The following is a 20829-nucleotide window of genomic DNA, read 5'->3' on the forward strand; positions in this document are numbered from 1 at the left end:
TATAAATATAAACCCGAATCAAGGATTTGCCTGGTCTCCCAAATATGTCTCCCTTCTCTACTTGACTAGGGTGTGGAGTGGTTATTTTTTAAATCACTGTGTATGAATTACCAAGATTCTTTCTGATTTTCCTTCACAAATCTTTCAAGCCAAAAGAAATTTTACCTGAGTAAGGTTCTCAGAACTGGACTCTGATGTGAGACCTCTATGAAGTAAGTTGCCTTTAAGAAGTTCTGAACATAAATCGAATTACCAAGAATTCTATTTATTGAAAAACACATTATATTGCATCATGTCCTTTTCAAATAGAGTGAAACTTGCTTATATTAAATTTCTAGGAACCCGAGGAAAAAATTTGATATAGGATGGAATTTGATATACTCTAGAAATATTACATGTGCGTGTAATAGACCTGGATTTCCAATTTGATTGCTATACACAGGGATTCAATACAGGTGGGTTCAATATTAAGGGGTTTCATTGAATTTGCATTTGTGTTTTTCAGGACATATATGGTATGTGTTTCCTCAAGGTAAAAATCAGATTCATTCCTGAGTCTAGGAAAGCTAAATATTCATGGAAACAGGAATTATTCAAGGAATATGACCAGATGAAAGTAATGTAAGCAATCTAGTTTCACTTCATTCCATCTTAATATTAATTTGATTGTCTGGAAGTTAGACTATTGAATTCTGGAATGGCATCTCTCTTTCCCTAGCTCTATAATTCTCTAGCCTATAACTTCTCTATTCCTTTCTTTCATTTAACATTTTAATATTCATCTGAAAGGAAGTGTTCAACAAAAGGGAATTACCAAAAGGTTTCAACATGTGAGGAAATTTTCTGTTCCTAAAAATGTCTCAAGTCTTGGAAAATCATAAAAATAACAAAAAGGTACTGACCATTATAAAATTGAAAGAAATCACTATACTAATATTTATATAAAATATACCATCTCTTTAAATTATAGGCACTGAAAATTATTAGCATTGCATAAAATATTGCACATATTTTTATTGTTTAGTTTTCAGAAAAAATTCTGAACCTGAATACTATTATTTTATTGACTTGAACTTGGGTGAGGGGAATTGAGATTTATAAATCTTTCCCTCCCCGATGGAAGTATCTAACACAGGCAATGCCCAGGAAGCAATGTTCTTCACTGAAGGAATGAATGAATGAATGATCTAAGCATACAGCTCCATTTAGGAATCTTTTGGGTACTTTGACATATATACTACTTTCACCTGAAAGAACCAAAAGATAAAATCCCTATTAAGTTTATCGCCATGCAGTTCTATAGTCACTTCTGAATTCTACTGATTCCACCCAATATTCCAAGTAAGCAAATGTAATAAAACTAATAGAAGAATATGCTTTGGGTGCCATAACAGATCAGCCTTCAAACAGATTAGGAACTTCGAGCTATTTGCCACTAAAAACAAGACAGGTCTTGCACAGGTCATACAAAATAATACTAATCTCTTTTGCCTGAAATAGTTTACATAGTTGCCTCAACAACATTTTTTTTTATCATCAAAACAAGTGTATACTTAACTAAATTAGGTTTTCTTTATACATTGGGTTGTGCCAGGAACCCTATTGCTTATAGAAGGAGCTGCTGTCTTTTGGGGCTCTACATACTTGGTATATATCACATAATGATGTATTTATGAGGGAGATCAGGTCAACTATTCACCTAAATAGCTGATTATTTTACTGATATGACAAGACATCCTATGCAAAACCATTGGTCAAGTGGCATCATGTAGCCACAGCTTCAGGTATATCAAAAGGAGGCAACACTGATATATCTAAAAGAGATGCAGCAGAATAAACACACAGAACATAGAAAGGTGAATGACCTAGCACTTTGGGAGGCTGAGGCGGGACGACCACTAGGTCAGGAGATCGAGACCATCCTGGCTAACACGGTGAAACCCTGTCTCTATTAAAAATTAAAAAAAAAAAAAAATAGCCGGGCAAGGTGGCAGGCGCCTGTAGTCCCAGCTACTAGGGAGGCTGAGGCAGGAGAATGGCGTGAACCCGGGAGGCGGAGCTTGCCTTGAGCCGAGATTGTGCCACTGAACTCCAGCCTGGGCAACAGAGCGAGACTCCGTCTAAAAAAAAAAAAAAAAAAAAAGGCCGGGCGCAGTGGCTCACGCCTGTAATCCCAGCACTTTGGGAGGCCGAGGCAGGCGGATCACAAGCTCAGGATATCGAGACCATCCTGGCTAACACAGTGAAACCCCGTCTCTACTAAAAATACAAAAAAAATTAGCCGGGCGGGGTGGCGGGAGCCCGTAGTCCCAGCTACCTGGGAAGCTGAGGCAGGAGAATGGCATGAACCCAGGAAGCGGAGCTTGCAATGAGCTGAGATCGCGCCGCTGCACTCCAGCCTGGGCGACAAAGTGAGACTCTGTCTCAAAAATAATAATAATAATAATAATAAAGAGGTGAATAAGTTGAATAAATGATGCAGAGTTAATGCAAACCTTATACAGTGGCTCCATGAGAAATTTCCCTAAAACTAGTTTCTCCTCTCTCTTTTTCTTTTTCTCCCTGTGTCATTCTTTTTCTCTTCCTCTCTCTCTCTTCTCCCTCTTTCTCTCACTTTTTCATTCTTTTTCTGTCTCTCCCATTTCTTTTTCTCTTTCTCTTTCTCTCTCCCTCCCTCTTTCTCTCTCTGTCATTCTTTCTCTCTTCCTCTCTCTTCCCCCTCAGTGTCTCTCTCTCTCTCTCTCTTTCTCTCTATCTCTCCGTCTTCCTTCTTCCCAATCCACTTCCCAACCCCTCCCCTCACACACACATACCCCAGCTGCCATGGCCAAAATACAGCCTCTGGAGATGCTATCTTTTTGGCTGCCCAAGTGTCCTTTTTCTAACAGCATATACTGCAGGAGGGCAGCCACACGTTGCATCGGAGTCATGCGTTCCCTGGAAGCTTCAAACCCCCATGCTGGATTTAGACTGCCTGTTGCCAAGAGTCTAGTCTGGGCACCTCACTCATCTGACCTAAGTGCCTTTCTAAACTTTTGGCTGAATTTGGCAGCTGCCAGCCCCTCTCCTCTGTGTCCTTTCTTGTTCCTCATCTTGTTACTCCCAGAGCCAGCCAGAAGCAGCAGTACATAGCTCCCAAATGAAATACACTCAAGTCCATTAAGAATCACCTAAAATGTTGACTCAATTTGAAAGCGGGCTGTTAACAGTGCATATGTGAAGTTGACGGTACTTGTGATAAGCAGAAAAAACAACAACGAATACTAATGTCTTATATTTGTATAGCACGTTAGAGTTTTTAAAGTGTTGTTGTAACACTCTGTTGAGATAAGCAAAAGGGGGTACTATTTTGCACATGAAATCATTTGGGTTCAAAAGGGTTAAATAAATGAGGAAAAACAAAAAAAAAACAAAATTCAATCTTGGACCCACAAAGTGACTGCTCTGTACACGCTGAAAGATGCCCCTTAGGAAACCTAATGGAAGGCACTTGTAAGGCATTCAGGCTTTTGGAACTTGTCTTTAAAATGTTATCAGTTCTCCAATGTGGACTGCTGATCCCCTGCATGAGCCATCAGGAACCCCTCATCATTCTCAGGCCTCACCCAGCAGGCAGGGAATCAGAAGTTGGGCAGGATTTGTATTTGAACTAGCAGTCTCAGGTAACTGATACACCTGCCCTAACTGAGACAGAGCTTATGAAGAGCCAGCCCCAATCTGAACAGTAGCCTCCTTAAGGAACACTACAGAGAAGCCAGGTTAGCCTGACCTCTCATCCTGAGGAGTAGCCAAAGAATCAGGACACCATTGAGATCCCATTCATCAATCTTTGAACCCAAGTAATGGAGGAGGTTTGCCCTTGAGCACAGACAATGGAGACAAACTGTGCAGGTTCAAGCCCCAGTCCTGCCACTTACAAAGTGACCATGGTGGCTGTCTCCCCACACAAATCTCATCTTGAACTGTAGTTCCCAACATCCCCATGTGTCATGGGAGAGACCCAGTGGGAGGTGATTGAATCAGGGGGGTGGTTTCCTCCATGCTATTCTCATGATAGTGAGTAAGTTCTCAAGAGATCTGATGGTTTTAGAAGGGGCTTCCCCCTTCACTTGGCTCTCATTCTTCTCCTTCCTCCTGCCATGTAAAGAAGGACTTGTTTGCTTTCCCTTCCGCAATGATTGTAAGTTTCCTGAGGCCTCCCCAGCCCTGAAGAACTGTGAGTCAATTTAACCTCTTTTCTTTATAAATTACCCAGTCATGGGCAGTTCTTTATAGCAATGTGACAACAGACTAATACAGTAAATTGATACAGAGGGAGTGGGGCACTGCTAAAAGGATACTGAAAAACATGGAAGTGACTTTGAAACTGGGCAACAGGCAGAGGCTGGAAGAGTTTGGAGGGCTCAGAAGACAGGAAAATGTGGGAAAGTTTGGAACTTTCTAGAGACTTGAAAGGCTCAGAAGACAGAAAGGTGTGGGAAAGTCTGGAACTTCCTAGACACTTGTTGAATGGCTTTGACTAAAATGCTGATAGTGATATGGACAATGAAGTCCAGGCTGAGGGGGTCTCAGATGGACATGAGGAACTTGTTGGAAACTGGAGCAAAGGTGAATCTTGCTATGCTTTATCAAAGAGACTGGACACATTCTGTCCCTGCCTAGGGATCTGTGGAATTTTGAACTTGAGAGAGATAATTTAGAATTATCTTGAACGCAGCAAAGCGTTCAAGAGGAAGCAGAGCATAAAAGTTTGGAAAATTTGCAGCCTGGCAATGCAATAGAAAAGAAAAACCCATTTTTCTGGGGAGAAATTCAACCCCATTGCAGAAATTTGCATAAGTAAAGAGGAGCTGAATGTTATTCACCAAAACAATAGGGAAAATGTCTCCAGGGCATGTCAGAGACCTTCAAAGCAGCCCCTCCCAGGCCTAAGAAGAAAAAAACGGTTTTGTGGGCTGGGGCCAGGGCTCCCCTGCTGTGTGCAACCTAGGGACTTGGTGCCCTGTGTCCCAGCCACTCCAGCTGTGGCTAACAGGCGCCAAGGCACAGCTCCGGCCATGGATTCAGAGGGTGCAAGCCCCAAACCTTGGCATCTTCCACATTGTGTTGGGCCTGTGGATGCACAGAAGTCAGGAACTGAGGTTTGGAAACCTCTGCCTAGTTCAGAGGATGTATGGAAATGCCTGAATATCAAGGCAGACATTTGCTGCAGGGGTGGGGCCCTCATGGAGAACCTCTGCTAGGGCAGTGTGGAAGGGAAATGTGGGGTCAGAGCCCCCACATAGAGTCCCCAGTGGGGCACTGCCTAGTGAAGCAATGAGAGGCCATAGTCCTGCAGACCCCAGAATGGTAGATCCACTGACAGCTTGCACCCATGTGCCTGAAAAACTGCAGGCACTCAACACCAGCTCATGAAAGCAGGCTGGAGAGGGGTTGTACCCTGCAAAGCCACAGGGGCGCGGGGCAGAGCTGCCCAAGACTGTGAAATCCCATCTCTTGCATCAGTGTGACCTGCATGTGAGACATGAAGTCAAAGGAGATTTCAGAGCTTTAAGATTTAATTACTGCCTAGTTGGATTTCAGACTTGCATGAGGCCTGTAGCTCCTTTGTTTTGGCCAATTTCTCTTATTTGGAATGAGTGTATTTACCCAATACCTGTACCTCCATCATACTTACGAAGTAACTAACTTGCTTTTGATTTTACAGGCTCATAGGCAGAAGAGACTTGCCTTGTCTCAGATGAGACTTTGGATTTGGACTTTTAGGTTAATGCTCAAATGAACTAAGATTTTGGGGGACTGTTGGAAAGGCATGATTGTGTTTGAAATGTGAGGAATGAGATTTGGGAGGAGACAGGGTGAAATGATATGATTTGGCTGTATCCCCACCCAAATCTCATCTTCAGTTGTAGTTTCCATAATCCCCACATGTTGTATGAGGGACCTGGTGGAAGGTAACTGAATTATGGGGGCAGTTCCCCCATGCTATTCTCATGATAGTTAATAAGTTCTCATGAGATCTGATGGTTTTAGAAGGAACTTCCCCCTTCACTTGGCTCTCATTCTTCTCCTTCCTTCCACCATGTGAAGAAGGACATGTTGCTTCCCCTTCTGCCATGACTATAGGTTTCCTGAGGCCTTCCCAGCCCTGAAGAGCTGTGAGTCATTTAAACCTCTTTCCTTTATAATTTATCTAGTCTCAGGCAGTTCTTTTTAGCAGCATGAGAATAGACTAATAAAATGGATAAGTTAATTAATCTTTCTGTGCCTCAGTTTTCTCATCTGTAAAAATGGAAATAATGATAGGGTTATTATTATATGTCAGGCCTCTGAGGCCAAGCCAAGCCATCGCATCCCCTGTGACTTGCACGTATACGCCCAGATGGCCTGAAGTAACTGAAGAATCACAAAAGAAGTGCATATGCCTTGCCCCACCTTAACTGATGACATTCCACCATAAAAGAAGTAGAAATGGCCGGGCCTTGCCTTAAGTGATGACATTACCTTGTGAAAGTCCTTTTCCTGGCTCATCCTGGCTCAAAAAGCACCCCCACTGAGCACCTTGCGACACCCACTCCTGCCTGCCAGAGAACAACCCCCCTTTGACTGCAATTTTCCTTTACCTACCCAAATCCTATAAAACAGCCCCACCCCATCTCCCTTCACTGACTCTCTTTTCAGACTCAGCCCACCTGCACCCAGGTGATTAAAAGCTTTATTGCTCACACAAAGCCTGGTTGGTGGTCTCTTCACACGGACACGCATGAAATTTGGTGCCGTGACTTGGATCGGGGGACCTCCCTTGGGAGATCAATCCCCCGTCCTCCTGCTCTTTGCTCCGTGAGAAAGATCCACCTACGACCTCAGGTCCTCAGACTGACCAGCCCAAGAAACACCTCATCAACTTCAAATCCGGTTAGAGGCCTCTTTTTTACTCTCCTCTCCAACCTCCCTCACTATCCCTCAACCTCTTTCTCCTTTCAATCTTGGCGCCACACTTCAAACTCTCCCTTCTCTTAATTTCAATTCCTTTCATTTTCTGGTAGAGACAAAGGAGACACGTTTTATCCGTGGACCCAAAACTCTGGCACCGGTCACGGACTGGGAAGGCAGCCTTCCCTTGGTGTTTAATCATTGCAGGGATGCCTCTCTGATTATTCACCCACGTTTCAAAGGTGTCAGACCACACAGGGACGCCTGCCTTGGTCCTTCACCCTTAGTGGCAAGTCCCGCTTTTCTGGGGAAGGGGCAAGTACCCTAACCCCTTCTCTCCTTGTCTCTACCCCTTGTCTGCTTTTCTGGGGAAGGGGCAAGTACCCCAACCCCTTCTCTCCTTGTCTCTACCCCTTCTCTGCTTTTCTAGGGGAGGGGCAATTACCCCTCAACCCCTTCTCCTTCACCCTTAGCGGCAAGTCCCGCTTTTCTGGAGGAGGGGCAAGTACCCCTCAACCCTTTCTCCTTCACCCTTAGCGGCAAGTCCCGCTTTTCTGGGGGAGGGGCAAGTACCCCTCAATCCCTTCTCCTTCACTCTTAGTGGCAAGTCCCGCTTTTCTAGAGGAGGGGCAAGTACCCCAACCTCGTATCTCTGCACCCCAATCCCTCATTTCCGCACCCCAACCTCTTGTCTCTGTGCCCCAATTCCTTATTTCCATGCTCCAACCCTTTCTCTGCTGTTCTGGAGGGCAAGAAACCCCTACCCCTTCTCCGTGTCTCTACTCTTTTCTCTGGGCTTGCCTCCTTCACTATGGGCAAGCTTCCACCTTCCATTCCTCCTTCTTCTCCCTTAGCCTATATTCTTAAGAACTTAAAACCTCTTCAACTCTCACCTGACCTAAAATCTAAGCATCTTATTTTCTTCTGCAATGCTGCTTGACCCCAATACAAACTTGACAGTAGTTCCAAATAGCTGGAAAATGGCACTTTCAATTTTTCCATCCTACAAGATCTAAATAATTCTTGTCGTAAAAGGGGCAAATGGTCTGAGGTGCCTGACGTCCAGGCATTCTTTTACACATCAGTCCCTTCCTAGTCTCTGTGCCCAGTGCAACTCATCCCAAATCTTCCTTCTTTCCCTCCTGCCTGTCCCCTCAGTCCCAACCCCAAGCATCACTCAGTCTTTCCAATCTTCCTTTTCTACAGACCCATCTGACCTCTCCCCTCCTCACCAGGCCAAGCTAGGTCCCAATTCTTCCTCAGCCTCTGCTCCTCCACCCTGTAATCTTTTTATTGCCTCCCCTCCTCACACCTGGTCCGGCTTACAGTTTCGTTCTGTGACTAGCCCTCCCCAACCTGCCCAGCAATTTACTCTTAAAAAGGTGGCTAGAGCCAAAGGCATAGTCAAGGTTAATGCTCCTTTTTCTTTATCCCAAATCAGAAGCGTTTAGGCTCTTTTTTATCAAATATAAAAACCCAGCCCAGTTCATGGCTCGTTCAGCAGCAACCCTGAGACGCTTTACAGCCCTAGACCCTAAAAGGTCAAAAGGCCGTCTTATTCTCAAAATACATTTTATTACCCAATCTGCTCCTGACATTAAATAAAACTCCAAAAATTAAATTCCGGCCCTCAAACCCCACAACAGGATTTAATTAACCTCGCCTTCAAGGTGTACAATAATAGCAAAAAGTTGCAATTCCTTGCCTCCACTGTGAGACAAACCCCAGCCACATCTCCAGCACACAAGAACTTCCAAATGCCTGAACTGCAGCGGCCAGGCGTTCCTCCAGAACCTCCTCCCACAGGAGCTTGCTACATGTGCCGGAAATCTGGCCACTGGGCCAAGGAATGCCCGCAGCCCGGGATTCCTCCTAAGCTGCATCCCATCTGTGTGGGACCCCACTGAAAATCGGACTGTTCAACTCACCTGGCAGCCACTCCCAGAGCCCCTGGGACTCTGGCCCAAGGCTCTCTGACTGACTCCTTCCTAGATCTTCTCAGCTTAGCGGCTGAAGACCGACACTGCCTGATCGCCTCGGAAGCCCCCTAGACCATCACGGATGCTGAGCTTCGGGTAACTCTCACAGTGGAAGGTAAGCCCATCCCCTTCTTAATCAATACAGAGGCTACCCACTCCACATTACCTTCTTTTCAAGGGCCTGTTTCCCTTGCCTCCATAACTGTTGTGGGTATTGACGGCCAGGCTTCTAAACCTCTTAAAACTCCCCAACTCTGGTGCCATCTTAGACAATACTCTTTTAAGCACTCCTTTTAGTTATCCCCACCTGCCCAGTTCCCTTATTAGGCTGAGACACTTTAACTAAATTATCTGCTTCCCTGACTATTCCTGGACTACAGCTATATCTCATTGCTGCCCTTCTTCCCAATCCAAAGCCTCCGTTGCGTCCTCCTCTTGTATCCCCCAACCTTAACCCACAAGTATAAGATACCTCTACTCCCTCCTTGGCAACCGATCATGCACCCCTTACCATCTCATTAAAACCTAATCACCCTTACCCCACTCAACGCCAATATCCCATCCCGCAGCACGCTTTAAAAAGATTAAAGCCTGTTATCACTCGCCTGCTACAGCATGGCCTTTTAAAGCCTATAAACTCTCCTTACAATTCCCCCATTTTACCTGTCCTAAAACCAGACAAGCCTTACAAGTTAGTTCAGGATCTGCACCTTATCAACCAAATTGTTTTGCCTATCCACCCCATGGTGCCAAACCCATATACTCTCCTATCCTCAATATCTGCCTCTACAACTCATTATTCTGTTCTAGATCTCAAACATGCTTTCTTTACTATTACTTTGCACCCTTAATCCCAGCCTCTCTTCGCTTTCACTTGGACTGACCCTGACACCCATCAAGCTCAGCAAATTACCTAGGCCGTACTGCTGCAAAGCTTCACAGACAGCCCCCATTACTTCAATCAAGCCCAAATTTCTTCCTCATCGGTTACCTATCTCGGCATAATTCTCATAAAAACACACGTGCTCTCCCTGCCAATCGTGTCCGACTGATCTCTCAAACCCAAGCACCTTCTACAAAACAACAACTCCTTTCCTTCCTAGGCATGGTTAGCGCGGTCAGAATTCTTACACAAGAGCCAGGACCACACCCTGTAGCCTTTCTGTCCAAACAACTTGATCTTACTGTTTTAGCCTAGCCCTCATGTCTGTGTGCAGCGGCTGCCACTGCTTTAATACTTTTAGAGGCCCTCAAAATCACAAACTATGCTCAACTCACTCTCTACAGTTCTCATAACTTCCAAAATCTATTTTCTTCCTCATACCTGACGCATATACTTTCTGCTTCCCGGCTCCTTCAGCTATACTCACTCTTTGTTGAGTCTCCCAATTACCGTTGTTCCTGGCCCAGACTTCAATCCAGCCTCCCACATTATTCCTGATACCACACCTGACCCCCATGACTGTATCTCTCTGATCCACCTGACATTCACCCCATTTCCCCAAATTTCCTTCTTTCCTGTTCCTCACCCTGATCACGCTTGATTTATTGATGGCAGTTCCACCAGGCCTAATTGCCACACACCAGCAAAGGCAGGCTATGCTATAGTACAAGCCACTAGCCTGCCTCTTAGAACCTCTCATTTCCTTTCCATTGTGGAAATCTATCCTCAAGGAAATAACTTCTCAGTGTTCCATCTGCTATTCTACTACTCCTCAGGGATTATTCAGGCCCCCTCCCTTCCCTACACATCAAGCTCGAGGATTTGCCCCACCCAGGACTGGCAAATTAGCTTTACTCAACATGCCCTGAGTTAGATAACTAAAATACCTCTTAGTCTAGGTAGATACTTTCACTGGATAGGTAGAGGCCTTTCCTACAGGGTCTGAGAAGGACACCACAGTCATTTCTTCCCTTCTGTCAGACATAATTCCTCAGTTTAGCCTTCCCACCTCAATACAGTCTGATAACAGACGAGCCTTTATTAGTCAAATCAGCCAAGCAGTTTTTCAGGCTCTTAGTATTCAGTGAAACCTTTATATCCCTTATAGTCCTCCGTCTTCAAGAAAAGTAGAATGGACTAAAGGTCTTTTAAAAACACACCTCACCAAGCTCAGCCACCAACTTAAAAAGGACTGGACAATACTTTTACCACTTTCCCTTCTCAGAATTCAGGCCTGTCCTTGGAATGTTACAGAGTACAGCCCATTTAAGCTCCTGTATAGACGCTCCTTTTTATTAGGCCCCAGTCTCATTCCAGACACCAGACCAACTTAGACTGTGCCCCAAAAAACTTGTCATCCCTACTATCTTCTGTCTAGTCATACTCCTATTCACTGTTCTCAACTACTCACACATGCTCTGCTCTTGTTTACGCTGCCAGTTTACACTGTTTTTCCAAGCCATCACAGCTGATATCTCCTGGTGCTAGCCCCAAACTGCCATTCTTAACTCTTGAAGTAAATAAATAATCTTTGCTGGCAGGACTATGCTGAATCTCCTTAGGCACTCTCTAATCAGATATCCTGAGTCGTCCTAATTCTTAGACCTTTTATACCTGTTTTTCTCCTTCTGTTATTCCATTTAGTTTCTCAATTTATCCAAAACCGTATCTAGGCCATCATCAATCATTCTATATGACAAATGTTTCTTCTAACATCCCCACAATATCACCCCTTACCGCAAGACCTCCCTTCAGCTTAATCTCTCCCACTCTAGGTTCCCACGCTGCCCCTAATCCCGCTTGAAGCAGCCCTGAGAAACATCGCCCATTCTCTCTCCATACCACCCCTCAAAAATTTTCGCCGCCCCAACACTTCAACACTATTTTGTTTTATTTTCCTTATTAATATAAGAAGGCAGGAATGTCAGGCCTCTGAGCCCAAGCCAAGCCATGGCATCCCCTGTGACTTGCACGTATACGCCCAGATGGCCTGAAGTAACTGAAGAATCACAAAAGAAGTGCATATGCCTTGCCCCACCTTAACTGATGACATTCCACCATAAAAGAAGTGTAAATGGCTGGGCCTTGCCTTAAGTGATGACATTACCTTGTGAAAGTCCTTTTCCTGGCTCATCCTGGCTCAAAAAGCACACCCACTGAGCACCTTGCGATCCCCACTCCTGCCCGCCAGAGAACAACCCCCCTTTGACTGTAATTTTCCTTTACCTACCCAAATCCTATAAAACAGCCCCACCCCATCTCCCTTCACTGACTCTCTTTTCGGACTCAGCCCACCTGCACCCAGGTGATTAAAAGCTTTATTGCTCACACAAAGCCTGTTTGGTGGTCTCTTCACACGGACGTGCATGAAATTATACTTCTTAAAATTATGAGATTAAATGAGTTTAGCAGAAGTCAAGCACTTAGAACAGTGCCTAGCACCAAGTCATTATTGAACGAGTGTTGGATATTTATAACAAACAACTCCTTTCCCTAATTACAGATTTTTGAAGTGACACATATTGCTAGCAGCCAATACAGGCTGATGGGATTTCCAGCACTGGGTGCAATATCTACAACTAAATACTTACTATGGTAAGTATTCAATATATATTTATTAAGGGATAAAATGGTACAAAGTCCAACACTTCACCTGGATGAACAATTTGAATATGAACTAGATGGAATCAAGCATCCATTCTTTGGTCTCACAGACCTTTCCCAAAACCTTTGAAATTTGTCCTGAGAAGAGGCATACCATACATTATGAGTTTTGTTTTGTCTTGTTTTAATAAGCCTTTATATAAATTCTAGCTGAGATCAGCATCATTATCATTTCCGGAGGCAATACAGGTGGCTCCCCAGTTGAGTCATGATAGTCCTGTACAAATATGCATTTCATCAATCCTATTCCCACGCTGCCCTCTGTTTTCTCATTCCTTCCTTTAACAGCAGCTCAGCATTCACAATCTACCCCTGCTGTTTATGGTTTCATAGTGCAGCACCATCCCTTGGATATTTTAGAGAGCAATGCAATAAACAAAATTTTCCAGAGTTGTTCATTTTCTAAAGAATAATTGAATTGCTGAAATATTATTTGGCTACAAAAAAGTTGGTAAGTTTTGAGTGCTGTTGACTTAAATGCACACATATGAGTCTACCCAACAATATTTTAATCATTATATTATTTGAAAAAGCATAAGGAGAAGCTGTCACTCTGCACATGGTAAAAATGGCAGCCACTTGGAGCCACCCATGAAGATGTTAAGGCTGAGCTCTTGGAGAGACGTAGATATTTTCAGCATGGGCAGGAAAAAGCAAATTTCCCTAAAAGAAAACACATTGACAACAAGGGAACAGGTTGCTTCTATTGTCAATGCCCTAACAACTTTCTTAAATTAGCTTTTTAAGAGAACCCTTTTCTGCATGCCTGATGACTCTCAGACCACCCAAGTTAATTTGATACAAATGTAATTTAAAAGATTCCATGTGTGTCTTAGAGAAGATTTGGGTATGTGGGGGTTGAGGTTTGTTTCTCTCTTTCTCTCTCTTTACTTTTAAGAAAGAAAAACCTTTATCATGTACATGCTTTTGAAGGTGAGGATTTTCTACTTAATCATTACTCATAGTCTAAGATAACATTAAAATAAATGGATTTTACAGTCTCCATTACCATTCCCATTAACATAAAATACAAATCAAGAAGATGGTTCTTTCATGGAAGCATTTGGACATAATTTCAACTGGAGTCCATAGGAATAACTGAGTAGATGTTGGTTAGTAGATGAAGTACTTTATGTTATATTTTGGGCCGTGAAAATCAAAATGAATTTTCTTATAAAAGACAGAAACCAGAAAACTAATCTGAGTTGTTCTATTACAATTTACTCTTTTTTCAAGGATGAAGCAAATGAAGTGAAGACCTTCTGTGCTGTATCTATGACTCCTTGACACTTTTCTGGTATTCAACAGAACACTTAAAAGCAGTTGGCAATATAAGAGAAAAATGTGTAGGTGATTCTGTTGCATTTATTTTTATCCATCATCTTTAATGAATGGTTTCTTATTTTCTTACATGTAATATCAAACTCACAGCATAAAAATTCCTAGGGATAAATTAGTCGAGCATGACCTAAATTTGCCAGAAGTTGAGATTTGATACTGTTTTTAAAGCATCCTTAGAGAAAGTGGAGAATGTAGAATTCGGAGTCAGATATTTTTAGGTTCAAATCCCAGTTCTGCCTCTGGTTCTCTTTGAGCTTTGGGAAAGTTAGTAAACTTCTCCATTGGTTAGTCTCGCTGGCTAAAAACTTGATATAAAGCCACTGCATGAATTAAATGGGGGTAACCTTTGTGAGGTACTGAGTGTGATGAATTAATGGGAATGGTTGAGGTGGGTACATTTTTCTGAGAGGTCTTGGGCAATCTGAGGGTTCCCAGGGGTGGCTAGCACCCCAGACCCCAAGACCACTGTTCACCCAGGTTGCAGATTTGTTCTGCGTTTGGATGAGAGTATGAGGAAGTCAATCACTCCATTAAAATGAATTACTTCATACTATATTTTGAAGAGAATGAGACTGGATGAAGTAATAATCCAAAGAAATGGAGGGGAAAGATCAAATCAGGAGTTTCAAGATCTGTGAACCATAAACAAAAAAAAGTCTATAAAATTTTCTTTTTCTCAAAAAAAGAGTGAAATATGCCTCTAATTTAAGGACAGAAGGCCAAATACAAAGCTGGAACAGTCAAATAAAGGTGAATCATAAAGCTGTCAAGGAAAGACACCCCTTACATAGAGAAGTTCTAACAAAGGCTTCTTTAGACAGGTCAAAGAAAAGTATATGCATGGAAAAGGAATGGAGAAGAGCTATCTTAGGGTAAATCAACAGAGTTGATGATACACAGTTGACTCAGTACCTAAGCAAAATACACTATACAAAAGGATTCTCTCTAATGCTTTATGTGGATTGCATTGTCTGAATGAGGATTAAAAAGCAATGTCACCAAAAAACAAAAAACAAAAAAAATGAGGAAGAAGGCCTAAAATGAAAGAAAGAAAGAGAGAGAGAGAAAGAAAGAGAAAGAAAGAAAGAAAGAAAAGAAAAGAAAAGAAAAGAAAAGAAAAGAAAAGAAAAGAAAAAGAAAGAAAGGAAGAAAGAAAGAAAGAAAGAGAATAGTTTCTTTGGCAAAATGTCCACATCATTTTAAAGTCTAAAACTGAAATCATGTTTAGGATCAAACCTAGGATATACTAGCTTTTCACCTTTCTTGGCTGAACACCACTCAAATAAAATTTGTTGAAATTTATACTAATAATACATACACAAAGGTAAATTCACTTTAAGAGGTTCTAAAATAAAATAATAAACTACCTAGTATATTACTGTGCACATAGATTATACCCAATAAATTAGAGCATTGTTATTACTAAATAAATATTCCAATAGTCCAAAATATGAAATACTTTTATCCCATCTCTGTGGCTCAGATTGCTATGCTACTATTTAAGCCCATTTGATCATTAGCACAAAGAGGCATAAGGAGTATAACAATTATATTCAAATGTTCTCATTTTCAAAGCTCATAATACAAGTTCTTTCAATTTTTGTGATTTGTTTTCAATCCCTTGATCTCTTTTCTTGATTTTGTCATAAATTATTTCTGTCCTCCATAAGTGCTCCTTGCAGACCAATCATCACTCCAGACCTACCTCTTGCATGCTTTACATATCTCAGTCTTCTCTATTACCTGCACTTTTAATCCCATCCACCACATCATTTCCAGTTTATTTAATCCCTTCCCGTTCATTTATCCATTCATCTTCCACTCTGGTTTTTAGTTCAATGGTTCTCAAACTTTTTGGTCTGAGGACCTTTTGACACTTTTTAAAAATCATCAAGAATATCAATGAGCTTCTGTCTGTGTGGTTTATATCTATGAGTACCTATTATATCAGATGTTAACACTGAGAAATTCTAAAAAATACTAATGCATCTTAAAATAGCACTCACAATCTCTTTATATGTTAACATACATATCTTTGTGAAAATTAATTCTGCTACAAAACAAGAGCAGTGGGAAGAGTGACATTGTTTTATACTTTTGCAAATTTCTTTAGTATCTAGTTTGATGGAAGATAATTGGATGGTCATATCTACTTCTGCATGTTATTTGTTGGAATATGTTGGATTAGTTCAGGCAAATTAAGACTATTCATCATCATGCAGATCTATAGAAGGAAAACGGAGAAGTGTTTTCATAACCTTTTCAGATAATTATAGATTTTCTTCTTTGACACCCAACACCCAACATGGGTAATTTCTTAAGGTCGGTTTTAATATGGGATGTGAAACCATATCAGTGAAATGTTTGTAATCTGTTACAGTAAAATCAGTTGGTCTATCTTACACATTAATGGATTGGTTGCCCATGTGTGATTTTATATCATCATGCATTATTCATTTGGAAAATATTGGTTCCCTGAGTTATGCAGATCTTTCAAATGTTGACACATTTAATTATACAATATTAAAAAATTGTATTTGTTACTATCTCCAGCAATCTCATCACAAAAGTCTTTAAGTATTGTGAAGCTGTCAAGTTCATGGTGGTAGATAGAAGTCTTCCAAAATTCTAATTTTCACTTGAAAGCTCAAATTTTTATCATAGGCAACAACTTCTGTCAGTTGTTTCCCTTGAAGTGACAGGTTCACTTTTTTCATTTTTGAGAATGTGTCTGCCAAATAACAGATCTGAATAAGTCTCGCTTTTCTGCCAGTTGTTCTTTCAAGTAAAAATGGTATTCCACGAAAAAAATGGCTAGATCAGTTCACAGCACAAATGATCTCACAAGTACATTTCCTCAAGGTGACCATCATACCTCATTTAGCATCAGAAGTGTCTTATCCATCTTTCCCATTTAATCATACAAAATGTTAAAAATATATACTCACCAGCCACCCCTGCCACTGGTAGTCAGGCGGACAACATCTGCTAGAGCTTCTGGCCCAGTGGTCCTGCTTCTGTGGGAACTCAGCTGGAGGATGCAACCTCCTGATGTCCTGGGAAGCACCCAGGCAGCAGAGCATGTGACCCCACCCACCCCCACCACGGATAGCCAGGCATGCAATGTCTACTAGAGCTTCCAGCCCAGTAATGTTGCTTCCGTGGGAACTCGGACAGTTGGCATGACCTCTTGTCTGAGGAGGAATCCAAACAGCAAGGTAACAGCCCCATCCATCTCCACTGCTTGTAGCCAGGCAAGCCATGCCTGCTAGAACTTACAACTCAGCAGTCCTATTTCTGCCTGAATTTGCCAAGGAGCACAGCCTCCTGTTGCCCTGGAAACACCTGGATGGTAGGGTGGACAACTCCACTGACCCCCACCTCCCATAGTCAGATGGGTGACACCTAGAGAGCTTCCAACCCAGCGGTCCTGCTTCCACCTGAATTCAGTGGCCAGAAACAACCCTGTGTTTCCCCAGGAAGGACACAGACAGCAGATTAGATTAGGGCTGACCTGGCAAGGATACAGTTTTTCTGCCAACCATGGCCCTTGCCTGCGAAAGCCCTCTGGACCAAAACATCTAATAACAAAAAAATGCAAGCAGAGAGAGAGTAATCAGAGAAGGCTCCTCCAAACCCATGAGCTGATTAGAATTGAAGCCAGTCAGCTGAATCCACTTTATACCATAATCAAACTCCCATGGGCATCAAAGAAGATAAAGGCAAAAAAATCCATCCGAAAGACATCAACTTCAAAGACTGAAGGAACGTCACATCACACAAATTAGAAAGAACCAGCACAAGAACTCTGGCAACTCAAAAAGCCAGAGTGCCTTTTTTCCTCCAAATGAACACACTAGTTCCCCAGCAAGCGTTCTTAAGTGGGCTGAAATGACAGAAATAGAATTCAGAATATGGATAGGAGTGAAGATCATCAAGATTCACGAGATGTCAAAAGCCAATCCAAGGAAGTTAAGAATCATAATTAAAATAAAAATACAGGAGCTAATCAATGAAATAGCCATTACAAAAAGAACCAAACTGATCTGATAGAGCTGAAAAACACACTACAAGAATTGCATAATACAATCATGAGTATTAACAGCAGATTAGACCAGGCTGAGGAAAGAATCTCAGTTCAAAGACTGGCTCTCAGAAATAACTCAGTCAGACAACAATAAAGAAAAATGAATAAATAAGAATGAACAAAACCTCTGAGAAATATGGATGATATAAAGAGACCAAATCTACGACTAATTGGCATCCCTGAAAAAGACAGAGAAAAAGCATGCAAACTGGAAAACATATTTCAGAATATCGGCCATGAAAGCTTCCCCAACCTCACTAGAGAGGCCAACATTCAAATCCAGAAAATGCAGAGAACCCCTGTGAGATGTTACACAAGAAGACCATCCCCAAAACACATAATCATCAGATTCTCCAAAGTTGAAATGAAAAAAAAAAAAAGTTAAAGGCAGCTAGACAGAAGGGGTAGGTCACCTACAAAGGGAACCCCATCAGGCTGACATGGACCTTTCAGCAGAAACCCTACAAATCAGAAGAGATTGGAGGCCTATATTGACCATTCTTGATGGAAAAAAAAAAAATCAACGAAGAATTTCATATCCAGCCAAACTAAGCTTCATAAGTGAAGGAGAAATAAGATTCTTTTCAGACAAGCAAATGCTAAGGGAATTTATTGCCATCAGACCTGCTTTACAAGAGGTCCTGAAAGGAACATTAAATTTGGAAAGGAAAGACCATTACCAGCCGCTACAAAAACACACTTAAGTACATAGAATAGTGATACTATAAAGAAACCACACAAGCAAGCCTACCTAATAACCAGCTAACAACATGATGACAGGATCAAATCCACACATATCAATACTAACCTTGAATGTAAATGGACTAAATGTCTCAATTAAAAGGCACAGAGTGCCAAACTGGTTTAAAAAAAAAGCAAGACCCAATGGTTTGTTGCCTTCAAGAGACCCATCTCACATGCAACAACACCCGTAGACTCAAAATAAAGGGATAGAGAAAAATCTACTAAGCAAAATCTACTAAGTAAAACACTTAAAAAGCAGGGTTTGCAATCCTAATTTCAGACAAAATGGACTTTAAACCAACAAAGATTAGAAAAGATAAAGAAAGTCATTATATAAAGATATAGGGTTCATTTCAACAAGAAGACCTAACTGTCCTAAATATACATGCACCCAACACAGGAGCACCTACTTTCATAAAGCAGGTTCTTAGAGACCTACAAAGAGACTCAGATTCCCACACAATAATAGTGGGAAATTTCAACATGCTACTAACTTATTAAGTACTAGATTATTGAGGCAGAAAATTAACAAAGATATTTAGGACCTGAACTCAACACTTGACCAAATGGATCTAACAGACATCAACAGAACTCTCCACCCCAAGCCAACACGTATATTCTTCTCATTGCCATATATTAAATACTCAAAAACTGACCACACAATCAGACACAAAACAATACTCAGCAAATTTAAAAAAAATGAAATCATACCAACCACAATCTTGGACCACAGCACAATACAAATAGAAACCTAGAAAATAACTCAAAACCATACAATTCATGGAAATTAAACAACCTACGCCTAAATGACTTTTGGGTAAACAATGAAATTAAGACAGAAATCAAGACATTCTTTGAAACTAATAAAAACAAAGATACAATGTACCAGAATCTCTAGGACATAGCTAAGGACATGTTAAGAGGGAAGTTTATAGCAACAAACACCCACCTCAAAAAGTTAGAAAGATCTCAGATTAACAACTTATCATCACAACTAGAAGAACTAGAGAAGCAAGAGCAAACCAACCCCAAAGATAGCAGAGGACAAGAAATAAACAAAATCAGAGCTGAACTGAAGAAATTGAAATACACACAAAAAATACAGAAGATTAATGAATCCAGGAGTTGTTGCTTTGAAAAAATTAACAAGGTAGATTAACCACTAGCTAGACTAATTAAGAAAAAAAGAAGATCCAAATAAACACAATTTGAAATGAAAAAAGAGATGTTACCACTGACTCCACAGAAATGCAAAAAACCATCAGAGACTACTATGAACACCTGTATGCACACAAACTAGAAGATTTAGAAGAAATTGATAAATTCCTGGACACATACAACTTTCCAAGACTGAACCAGGAAGAAATTGAATTCCTAAACAGGTAAATAGCAAGTTCCTAAATTGAATCAGTAATAAAAGGCCTGCCAACCAAAAAAAAGCCCAGGACCAGACAGATTCACAGCCAAATTCTACCAGATGTATAAAGAAGAGCTGATGCTCTTCCTACTGAAACTATTAAAAAAAAAATAAGGTGGAGGAATTCCTTCTCAACTCATTGTGTAAGGCCAACATCATCCTGAAACCAAAACCTGGCAGAGACACAACAAAAAAAGAAAACTTCAGACCAATATCCTTGATGAACATAGATACAAAAATCTTCAACAAAGTACCAACAAACTGAGTCCAACAGCACATCAAAAAGCTAATCCACCATTATTAACTAGGCTGTATCCCTGGGATGCAAGTTTAGTTCAACATATGCAAATCAATAAATGTGATTAATCACATAAAGAGATCTAAAAACAAAAACCACCTGATTATCTCAATAGATGCAGAAAATGCTTTCAATAAAATTCAACACTGCTTCATGTTAAAAATCCTCAGTAAACTAGGTATTGAAGGAACATACTACAAAATATTATAAGAGCCATCTATTACAAAACACAGCCAACATCATGTGATTAGGGAAAAGCTAGAAGCATTCCCTTGAAAACTGGCACAAGACAAGGATGCCCTCTCTCACCACTCCTATTCAACATAGTATTGGAAGTTCTGGCAAGAACAATCAGGCAAGAGAAAGAAATAAAAGGCATCCAGATAGGAAAAAAGGAAGTCAAACTATCCCTGCTTGCAGAAA

At 41.3% G+C, this 20829-nt stretch overlaps 2 annotated features.

The window, feature by feature from the left end:
* Positions 4598–5147: an enhancer, noted in NCBI's record as "NANOG-H3K4me1 hESC enhancer chr18:54080945-54081494 (GRCh37/hg19 assembly coordinates)". NCBI's record gives its function as "activates a minimal SCP1, AML or CMV promoter by ChIP-STARR-seq in naive and primed H9 embryonic stem cells {active_cell/tissue: H9 hESC(naive and primed)}" and the evidence as "EXISTENCE:reporter gene assay evidence [ECO:0000049][PMID:30033119]".
* Positions 11610–12336: an enhancer, noted in NCBI's record as "OCT4-NANOG-H3K27ac hESC enhancer chr18:54087957-54088683 (GRCh37/hg19 assembly coordinates)". NCBI's record gives its function as "activates a minimal SCP1, AML or CMV promoter by ChIP-STARR-seq in naive H9 embryonic stem cells {active_cell/tissue: H9 hESC(naive)}" and the evidence as "EXISTENCE:reporter gene assay evidence [ECO:0000049][PMID:30033119]".

This window comes from Homo sapiens, chromosome 18 (assembly GCF_000001405.40).
Source record: "Homo sapiens chromosome 18, GRCh38.p14 Primary Assembly".
NCBI classification, from domain to species: domain Eukaryota; kingdom Metazoa; phylum Chordata; class Mammalia; order Primates; family Hominidae; genus Homo; species Homo sapiens.